The sequence below is a fragment of the Homo sapiens genome, chromosome 3, assembly GCF_000001405.40.
Source record: "Homo sapiens chromosome 3, GRCh38.p14 Primary Assembly".
NCBI lineage: Eukaryota > Metazoa > Chordata > Mammalia > Primates > Hominidae > Homo > Homo sapiens.
The window spans coordinates 132,359,016-132,370,126 of record NC_000003.12 but is presented as its reverse complement, the minus strand read 5'-3'; the positions used below and the strand labels follow the sequence as shown (position 1 = coordinate 132,370,126).

Sequence of the window (11,111 nt, the reverse complement as noted above, 5' to 3'; positions counted from 1 at the left end):
CACTCCAGCCTGGGCGACAGAGCAAGACTCTTTCTCTCAAAAAAAAAAAAAAAAAAAAAAAAAAAGATGATATGGAAAAAGTGTTGTGAAAGCTCTTACTTTTACATTCTACCAACCCTGTATAAGGTCGGTGTCAGAGTCAAGCAATTAATAATCACAATTGGGGTGGACAATTTAGCATCTAGGTCAGTGATTAGCAAGTAATAGTTTTCTCATCCATGTTTGTTGAATTAGCATAAGATATTATGGCTTATGTACTGATATGGCTGGCTACTTTATCAAGGCAGTAATTTGTCCTTTATTCTTGCTGCTGTAGATATTTTTCCCTTTCCCAAGCTAAGAAGGTAGCCACGTCTTGTGTTTTTTGTTTTTGTTTTTACCTAGGTGGTTTTTGTATTCCATCAGGAAGCAGACATTGCCAAGCAAGAGAAGACAACTCCTTCTTAGCCTTTTGTTTGCAATAACCTTGGCTCAGTGAGAGTTATGTAGAAAGTAAGTGCATGAAACTTAACAGGTAGAAGCTGTGGGACCCAAGGGGAGAGGAAGATTCCTGAGACTAACAGATGGAGTCGGGTTCTGGGAGGCGGTGGGGGTGATTCTGTGCTGAGCAAAAGTATCACCCCAGGATTGCACAGTCTCAGGCTGGTGGACTCCAAGAATATAGTCCTGGGAGCAATGGCACAGATATCCCCTGCCTACCGTCAGAAGACCATGTGGGCAGGGATGGTGAACTTAACAGAGACCAGCATGGACAGAGGTCTAGAGGACTCTTCTCCAACTCCTCCCACCAGCTATTCTCTGGGACCTGAGGAGGTAGAGAACCCTACTGAGGAGTGAGATTGAATATCCCACCAACTGGATGGCTGGGGGTTCAGGGCAGATTAAAATTGTTTAGCATAAATTTTCAGCTTGCCACAATACTACCATCCTTGACAGTGCTTGCTTGGTCAATGACTCATCTAGAGCATAAAATGAAAAATGATTCACAGTATATGAGAGCTAGCTGTGACTTCTATGTTCATCTAATTCAGATTCTTCATTTTTAGGTTAGGAGACCAAGGTAAAAGATATAAAAGAACTAGGCCAGGTGTGATGGCTCATGCCTGTAATCTCAGTGTTTTGGAAGGCCAAGGTAGGAGGATTGCTTGAAGCTAGGAGTTCAAGACCATCCTGAGCAACATAGCGAGATCCTGTCTCTACAAAAAATAAAAAAATTAGCTGGGTGTGATGGTGTGCACCTGTTGTCCTAGCTACTTGGGAGATTGAGGTGGGAGGATTGCTTGAGTCCAGGAGTTAGAGGTTGCAGTGAGCTATGATCATGCCACTATACTCAAGCCTGGGTGACGGAGTGAGACAATGTGTCTGGAAAAAAAAAGATATAAAAAAAACTTGTTCTAAGTCATGAGCCCAAAGCCAGTGCAGGGCTGAGACAGTGGGCTGTCAACCCTCAGTTGAGCTATGACTAGCCCTTACGAAAGTAAGATCTTACAATTTTAAATGCAATAAAAATGGAAACTTTAAAAATATCCAGATCTGATAGTGGAGGTATCTGATAGTGGCTATGTGTATTTTCCAGTTAATCCCCACTATAGAAATTGTAAACAGATGACCTGAGTCATACATAAAGTGGGTGATATTACAGTTCGAGAATTAAATACCTCTTCTGTAGGCATTTTAAATATGGATATGTGTATGTATGTGTGTTAATATACAGACACACAAACAGAAATCTTTCCGCTATCAAACACTGGGCAGAAATTTCTTTTCAGTTGTGTGTGTGTGTGCTTGCATGTGCATGTGTGTATGTATGTGTATTAAACCTACTTAATAGCTAAATAAAAAGTTTATTTATAATTTATGATTGGGTCTTCTTTCGTAAGAATCACCCTGTATAATAATACTTCTAGTCTAACTTCCCCCAATATCCAGTATTTTTCTAATCTATGTCTTTGTCCACCTTCTCACCCTTCACTCTTTGCAGGTAAAAGGCTGATTGGAGTTTGGCTTCTTATTTCTCTCCGGACAACTGTGGCAGAGAATACAACCATCCTATGCATAACAGCCTCTTTCTAGCTGAACAAGCAGCCTGCACTACCACTCCATTATGAGAAGACCTAGGTAGCCTGAGTGTTCATCCAGCAGCAGCCTGTGGGTCACTGTGAGTTCAGACCCTGCTCTGGGCAGATTCAAAAGGCAGGGTGTGAGGATGGCAATGCCCACATGGCAAAAGCCTGTCCTTTAGATGCGGCACCACTGAGAGATGCTGTGTCACAGGAGGTTGGCCTGGCTTATCCAGCTGTCTGTTCAGATGTTCCCATAGGATTCTCTCTGCCAGCAGAGTCCACGGCGAATGTGGATAAACAGTAGTACCATTAGGACAGCAGATATCAGGCAAAAGGCAACAGCAAAGATGACCTTTAGAACTGTGGGAAAATAGGAAAAGTATTAATGTAAAATTAATGCATTAGGAAAATAGGAAGATCACATGTGAGTGTTGCTTTCTGCCTTAATTGCAAATTTCAGAGGAGTTGCTAAAGAGGCCTTGAAATCAGCATTATGTGTGTGCTAAGAAGAGCACAGGACTAGGAGTCAGGAGATGACCTAGGTTCCAGTTCCAGCATAAACTTTGACCCTTGAGATTCAGCTCCCCACTGAAAAGGGAGGGTAATTAGCTGAAGTATTTCTAAGTCCTCTTATAGCACTAACTTTATGCATTTTTTACAGTTATATTACCAATTGTCCATGGTCTCAGGGTCAAAGGAAATTCTGAATGCTCAACTGCAATCAATTGGATCTAAAAGAAATGAAATCCTTCGATTTTTAAATTTGATTTTTAGGTAAATATTTGTTGAAGAGGAGATCTTGTGCACATTTTGTCTCTATGGCAAACATTTCTAGCATAACTGTGTACTATTTCTAATATGTACCTTTATTTACACATATTCTTTTGATAGCTGACCAGTAAAAGCAGATATTTGGGGCCATTTCGTAATGAGATGCTAATTCATTATTTCATCTGGAAAGTTACTCTCCTATACACGCACCCTAGTCCACTATAGTATACACATCATAAATACCAGTTTGTACCATCTCTAAATGTATGTCTTTTCATTGTAAAAATATAGGGTTTCTTGTTGGCTTAGGCAATAGGAGAGCAAACATCCCTCTGATCCCATCAGCTCTTTCTACAGAACCCTAGTGCAGCATAGAAGACAGGTGAAAATCACTGATTTCACCTGACATTATCATTAAGAGAATGAGGAAAATAAGAAGCAGAGCAATTAGATAATCTGGTTATGGTTAAGCAGATAATTGTATTGGGGTTGGGATCTTATCAGTCTCATGATTTTAAAAACCATCTATTCAGTAATTACTTCCAAATATAAATCTCCAGCTCTGACATCTATCTTAAGCGCAAGACTCATTTATCCAATTGTATACTTGATATGTTTCTTTAGATATCTAATAGGCATTTCAATCTCAAGTCCAAAACTGAACTCTTGATCTCCCCATCCTCATTCCCCACACCAAATTTGCTCTTCCCAGAGCCTTCCCTCTTCTCAGTTGATGGAAACTCCCTTCTTCTGTTGGCTTAGGATAAAACTCTTGGAGTCTTCTTTAACTCCTTTATTTTTCTCACAGCTTACACTATCAGGAAATCCTATTGGTCTTACTGAAAAATATATCCCAACACTGACTTCTTTTCTTCTCTGCCACCACCCTGCTTTGAACCACCATCGTCTTTTGCCAGGATCACTATAATGGCCTCTTATTTGTTCCCTTGTTTCTATCTATCCTTTCTCCTTTGTAATTTTTTTTTTTTTTTTGAGACAGAGTTTCACTCTGTCACCCAAGCTGGAGTGCAGTGGCATGATCTTGGCTCATGCAGCCTCGACTGCCCAGGCTCAAGTGATCCTCTCACCTCACCCTCCCTAGTAACTGGGAATACAGGCATGCACCTCCATGCCTAGCTAATTTTTGTATTATTTGTAGAGATGGGGTTTTGTCATGTTGCCCGGGCTGGTCTTGAACTCTTAAGCTCAAATGATCCATCTGCCTCAGCCTCCTAAAGTCCTGGGATTACAGACGTGAGCCACCACACCTGGCCACAAGGCCACAATCCTTTTTTTTTTTTGGGAGATGGAGTCTTGCTGTGTTGCCCAAGCTGGAGTGCAGTGGCACCATCTCGGCTCACTGCAACCTCTGCCTTCCAGGTTCAAGGGATTCTCCTGCCTCAGCCTCCCAGTAGCTGGGATTACAGGTGCCCGCTACAATGCCTGGCTAATTTTTTTTTGTATTTTTAGTAGAGACAGGGTTTCACCATGTTGACCAGGCTGACCATGAACTCCTGACTTCAGGTGATCCACCCACCACCACCTGCACCTCCCAAAGTGCTGGGATTACAGTCATAAGCCACCGTGCCTGGACCACAATCCATTTTTAACACAGCAGTCAAATGACTTAAAGTCAAATCATGCCACTTCTCTCCTTAAAACAAAGTCTGCAATGAATGCTCATCTCAATCAGAATAAAAGCTACAGTTCTAATGATGATAGTTTATGAGGATCCACATCATCTGTCTCCTATGAGTCCCCTCACATTTCCTCTCCTATCACCCTCCCTTCACTCACTCACTTCTGGCCTCATAATCCTTATGCTGTTCTTCAAACATGCCAAGCAGTCCTGCCTTAGTGACTTTGCTATACCTGTTATCATGGCCTGAATGCTCTCCCACACATCCCTTGCTTTCTTTGCCTAAATCTCATCTCCATGAGACCTTCCCATTTAAAAGTGCATCTTGTATATCCTCCTTCACTTCACCCCAAATTGGCCATTGTGATCCTCATCTTCCAAAACACTTATTATGCTTATTATTTGTTATCTATCCCTCTCTCCCTCTAGTAGAACACAAGCTTTGCAAAGGCAGGAACTTTTGTCTTTTTTGTTCATGAATGTATCTCAAGCACTGAGAACAGTATCTGGCACATAACGAGTACTAATAAATGTTTGTAGAAAAAACTTAATGACTTAGAACTTATAAGTTCCCAACTCTTAGTCCAGTATTTTCTGATGATGCCAGGATGCTTCTTAGCATCACGAAAAGGTGGTTTTAAGTTATACCCTGAGAGACAGTCTCATTAGAACTGCAGATAGATTTAATATAAGTTTAAGGCAACTAAATGAAATTGAAGAGGGAAAGAAAGGACTCAGTGGAAATGAGGAAGGCAGATAGTAGTGATCCTTAAAAATCTATTTTCATGGCTGACTCTGTATTTAGAAATTTATTTTCAGTTATTTTTATGGGCTGTGTTGTCATAGCAGTCTGATGGAACATGCTTTTCTGCTCTTTATCCTTCCTTCTTTCCTTTCTAGACATGTGGTGAGCACACATGTACCAGGTAGGCTGTACTGGATGCTGAGGTTCCATAATCTCTGCCCTCGAGGAGCTCAATGTCTAGCAGGAGAACCAGAAAGGTAATTACAAGATACTGTGATAACTACTAAAATGGAGGTGCAAAAGAAATGCTATTGAAACAAAGAGAAAGTTGCAGTCAGCAGAGTGTATTCTATTTGAAAGAGAAAGAGTTTGGAAAGTCTTCTAAGAATTGAGCTGACCTGCAAGGTGAGTAAGACTTTGCCATGAAACAGAAAGAGTTTCACAAGGGCATGTTTAGGACATAATGAGGAGTTACACATGACTGGAATACAGGCTTCAGGGAGGTGAAACCACATGTGTAAATGGGGGGCCAGTTTGTTTTTGTTTTTGTTTTTGTTTTTTGAGATAGGGTCTCACTGCATTGCTCAGGCTGGAGTGCAGTGGTGCAATCACTGCTCACTGCAGCCTCAACCTCCTAAGCCCGGGTGATCCTCCCACCTCAGCCTCCCGGGGGAAGCTGGGACCACAGATGCATGCCACCATGCTCAGCTAATTTTTTTGTATTTTTTGTAGAGATAGAGCCTCACTATGTTACCCAGGCAGGTCCTAAACTCTTGGGCTCAAGCGATTATCCCACCTCGGACTCTCAAGGTGCTGGGATTACAGGCATGAGCCACTGTGCCTGGCCAGGGGCCAGTTTTTAGAGTGCTTGGTTTGACGTGGGGCAAATGGAAGTCATCAGCAATTATTACATATGGAAGTGATACAGCCCACTCTGTGTTTATTTTATTTTTATTTATTTATTTATTTTTTGAGATGGAGTTTCACTTCATTGCCTAGGCTAGAGTGCAGTGGCACGATCTCGGTTCACTGCAACCTCCGCCTCCCGGGTTCAAGCAATTCTCCTGTCTCAGCCTCCTGAGTGGCTGGGACTACAGGTGCCTGCCACCATGCCCGGCCAATTTTTGTATTTTAATAGAGATGGGGTTTCACCTTGTTGGTCAGGCTGGTCTCGAACTCCTGACCTCAGGTGATTCACCCCCTCGGCCTCCCAAAGTGCTGTGATTATAGGCATGAGCCACCGTGCCTGGCCAACCACTCTGTGTTTAAGAAAAACAAAAACTGTGGAAAAGATAGGATGGTGGAGATACATTAGGCTTGATAGAGAACTATTGAAAATACCTTTAATATGACACTCAGGGCTTAGAACCGCAATTGTGGCCCTGGGAACGAAGAGGAGGGAATTCAAGAGATGCAGTAGAATTAACAGGCTTTAGTAACAGGCTACATATACTGGTAAGGGAGGAGCTGTGGTCAAGGCAATCTCATGGCTTCTTGTTTGGGTGATTGAGAAGATAAATTGAGATTGGGACCACAAAAAAGAATTGGTTTGGAGTAGAGAAGATAATTTATTTTGTCTCCAGTGTGGGATTGAGACAGGTTATTATCCTGATAGAGACTATCAGTAGGCAGCTTGACAAAACAGGTCAAGAATTCTACAGTTAGATGTAGAAATAAGGATTGTAGACATAGAAGACAGAGGCCTGGGTATACTGGCTAATACTGAATGTGGAATGAGGAACCTGAAAACAAAGAAAAGACTCAGGTGAGCGCGTATGCTTTCTCTCCCTGTGATATTTATTTATTTATTTATTTATTTATTTTTAAATGATATGCTCCTTTGTACTGTAAAATATTTCAGGAGTTTGCCAGAGCATTGTCCTAGACACTGAGAAAAGAGAGCATGATTAATTGTATCTTAATACAAAGAGATCTCGTACAGGTAATGACTGAAAAGGGTCTTCCTAAAACAAGAAGCCAGTTACAGCATCTGTCCTCTGCCTAAAACCTTTCCATGAGCACAACAGCTCAACTTGACCTATGGAGCACTTAGTGCTTGCCTCTGCAGCCTCAGCTCTCCACACATTCACTAGACTTTTTCCAGTTCCCAAAGTGCTCTATGCTGCCTTTGGCCTCTTGGCCTTTATGCATTCTCCTCTTTTGTCTGTAACATCCTCCTCTCTCCTCACCTTCATTCACCTGCTTAGTACCATTTCTCCTTCAGGTTTCAGTTTGAACATCACTCCTCCAAGAAGCCTTCTCTGACCCATTAGGCTAATTGCCTCTGCTGTGTTTTCTCCTTATGCCCTTCATCGCAGAATTCACCATACTTTGCTGTTAGGGCTGATTTAATTATTCATTTCCTCGTCCACCCCTCCTCTCCATAAGGTCTGCAAGCCATATGGGGACAGTCTTCTTGTCTGCTGCTGTTTACTCAGCAAGCTTAATGCTTGATACATAGGAAAATATTGAGTACATAAGAGGTACTCAGTAAATCTATTGCTTATTAAATAATCATTTATCTTGACCCACCAATCCTATTTTTGGAAATTGGTCTAAGAAAGTAGTCCACAAGACACAGTGGAATGAAAAGTGAGTATGATATGGTAGAAATAGGATGTTGGAAAGTGTTAGGCTTGAATCCTGATCCTATTACTTGTGGCATGTTATCCTCTGAGGTTCAGTTTTCTTCTCTGTAAATTGGGGATACTAATAGCTGCTTCACAATGAAAGAAAGGCCACTGAATTAGACACTGATGGCTTTCAAAAGAGAAGTTAAAAAAAAAAGAGATGACAGAAGGGTGGACATAATTTTACAGAATAGTTAAAGCATAAGATGGATGTGAGAAAATAGTACAAGAACATGTGAATCATTAGTTCAAGAAAATTGAGATTGAAGAGAGTGAGGTGGAATAAGCACTTGATGGTGTTTTGATGAGAGGATATTTGGGCATTTTCGTAGTATAAGGGAAGGAGCCAGGGCAGAGGAAGAAAGTGAAGTTAGCCAAGAGATTCCCTGGGGTCCTGAGGAGACTGCGGAGATGGGTTCACACTCACAATGAGGTCAGCCCATGCAGGGAGGAATGTGGTTTCCTGAGGGACAGCAGCAAAGGAAGGTTAAAGCTACTGAGATATTTTTGAGATTGTGAGAGTAGAACTTAAAGGACTTATCAATAGATTATCTTGCTTATAAGAATAAAGAAAACAAAATGGAGTCAGACTTTTGGGACAAACAGGCCTTCCTGCAGGGAGTAGGAAAAGTGTTCAGTAGGGGTGAATACATTTACCAAGAAACACTGAGAGACTCAGTTGAGGATGGAATAAAATGTCTACATTCATCGTTTGAAATGGTGACAATAGGCTTGGACTTTTGCTTGCTTCAGCTCTACTCACAGATCAGAATGAAAAAACCATGTGACTGACTTGATCTAGAGGCTTAGGTATTGGCATGGTGAGCAGTGTATGGGACAGGTCAGCGTTATAGCTGTCAGAATTGCCTAGGTTTAGGGCAGGAGTGGAGTGAGGAGTGAATCGGAGCATACCAAAGCAAGTTGCCAATGTCTTTAGCAAATGGTGAGATATATTCCAAGAAACTGAAGATAATGGCAACAAGAATGAGGAAACAGTTATTTTAATCAGATGGCCTCATCTTTGAGGGAGGAGCGGTGCTGGATATCATTGAACAAGGGATATCATTGAACAAGGGATATCACTGAACAAGGGATATCATTGAACAAGGGCTTTTAATAGCAATGGAGGAACATGAGAATGCCAAAACAACTATGCTGAAAACAGAAGTCAAATACTACAGACATGTTGGCACATAGAAATGTGTTTATGGCCAATGATTGGGTCTCTACAGTATAATCACTTTTGAGGCTCATTCATAGCTTCTCTCTCTTATTTATAAATAAACTGAGTTCCAGGCTTCTGACTTCTGAGCTCAGCCACAAGGAAGCCATGCTAGGTATGCAGGGCTGGACATGTATTCAGTTAGCAAATATTGATTGAAGGCACAAGGTTCTAGGCGTTGTCTACTGGCTGAACACTCAAAGAGGAAACATGTATGGATCCTGCCTTTAAGAAGCTCAAGGTTGAATCTTGGGCATGTGTATTTGTGCTGTAGATTCTCAGCTTTAGAAAGATAATGAGAGAAAACTGGGACTTCTCACTAGTAAGTCTCCTTCTTGTGAAATAATTAGAGTTGGACATTGAGATGGGGGTGGGAGAGCACTAGTGAAGAAAGTCTGAATGTGTTAGTAAAATGTTGGAATTAAAGAAGCAGTTTGACAAATTTTATTATTTTCAAGCAATGTGCTATGGCCTTAGACTTGTGAATTTTCCAGCAAAGACTCTGGTGAATTTAATTGATACGATCTGGAATCTGGTTAAGTGAGCCTACTGGCACTAGCTAAAAACACTGCTTATAGTTATGGATAGAATTTAATGGGTGGAAACCCCTACTCTAAGGAGTAGGGTTGCAAAGTATCTTGCATATATAGGACATATCCTATATTTAATGATTTTGTCCTGCTTCCTGTATCGGCTTTTTCAGAACATCCTAAGTGTCCTGTATTGTTTTTTTTTTTTTTTCCAATGAATTACAAAAACTTGGCAGTTACAGCCTTTTGTCAAATTTATCTCGGCATCCTGTACTTTTATTTGCTAGATTTGGTGGCCAAACTAATGAGCCACTCAACCCCTACAATCTTCCATGTTTCAGCCTTCTCTGTAGTATCTCTCTTCTAAGGTGAGTGGCCACCCAGCCTAATGGGCACTTCTTACCTCAGGAGTTTCCCAACACTGAACGAAAATCTGTCTCCCTGAAATTTTTACCTGCTGCCCCTAGCATCCCTCTTTAAGATCATACTGAATAAATCTAATCCTTTTCTTTACAGAAGTTCAAATATTGAACTCACTGTATTAGAGGCCACCTCATGTCACAGACTCTTAACAAACTTTCTATGAGCCCAAACCAGTGGTGTGGTGGTAGGATTTGTAGCATTTAATTTCTTTGGTGAAAATACTCCTGCCACATTGGAGCTGCCCAGGTGAAGTGGTTGAACTGAGAGTTGGGAACTGATGGACACATTCCACTCTTGAGATCTGTATGAGCGGGCTGCAGCACATCAACCCTTACATTTTTCTTTCTATTAACATTTTTTGCTGCTTAATCATATTTCACTCTACCTGCATATTGTTATTTGTGTTTTGAGGGAAAGAATTCTGCAAACATACCACAGGTAGATTTACAAGAGGAGGTGAGAGACTATGGAGAATGAAGGAGAGGGTAGGGTAAAAAATAACTCCTAAGTTACCAGGTATTGCTGCTCATCAAGATAGACAAGAGTAGGGTCAGGGGAAAAGGTAACAAATTTATTTATTTATTTATTTATTTATTTAGACAGAGTCTCGCTCTGTTGCCCAGGCTGGAGTGCAGTGGCGCGATCTCGGCTCACTGCAAGTTCCGCTTCCCGGGTTCACGCCATTCTCCTGCCTCAGCCTCCCGAGTAGCTGGGACTACAGGTGCCCGCCACCATGCCCGGCTTTTTGTATTTTTAGTAGAGATGGGGTTTCACCGTGTTAGCCAGGATGGTCTCAATCTCCTGACCTTGTGATCCGCCCACCTTGGCCTCCCAAAGTGCTGGGATTACAGGCCTGAGCCACCTCGCCTGGCCTCAAACTGATTTTACGTGGTACAGTTGCTACCTTCTGCAGAAAGCCTTTCCTGACCTTCCTTACTTCCCCTACTCCAAATCTGGATAACTCTTGTTCCCACAGTAATCTGTGTAGTCATAAGACATAGCCCTGGTTTTTCCATGTTGTACAGTATGTATCTCTTTACTTCCCTAGTATATTGTGCACTTCCTGAGGGTGTTTCCTTAGCAAATTC

General features: G+C 41.7%; 1 protein-coding gene across 3 annotated transcripts in view; it reads right to left on the bottom strand.

The window, feature by feature from the left end:
* Positions 1,825 to 11,111, bottom strand: part of ACP3 (acid phosphatase 3) — a 50,896-nt gene continuing 41,609 nt past the window's right edge. For 2 of the 3 annotated variants that reach the window (NM_001134194.2, XM_011512947.3), the window contains one exon: positions 1,825 to 2,423. In NM_001134194.2, the coding sequence (NP_001127666.1) occupies positions 2,305 to 2,423 (119 nt within the window). In that variant the 3' untranslated portion in view covers positions 1,825 to 2,304. Of the gene's footprint in view, positions 2,424 to 6,919; positions 6,961 to 11,111 lie in introns of those variants that run through there. The other variant, XM_011512946.2, reaches the window with a different exon arrangement.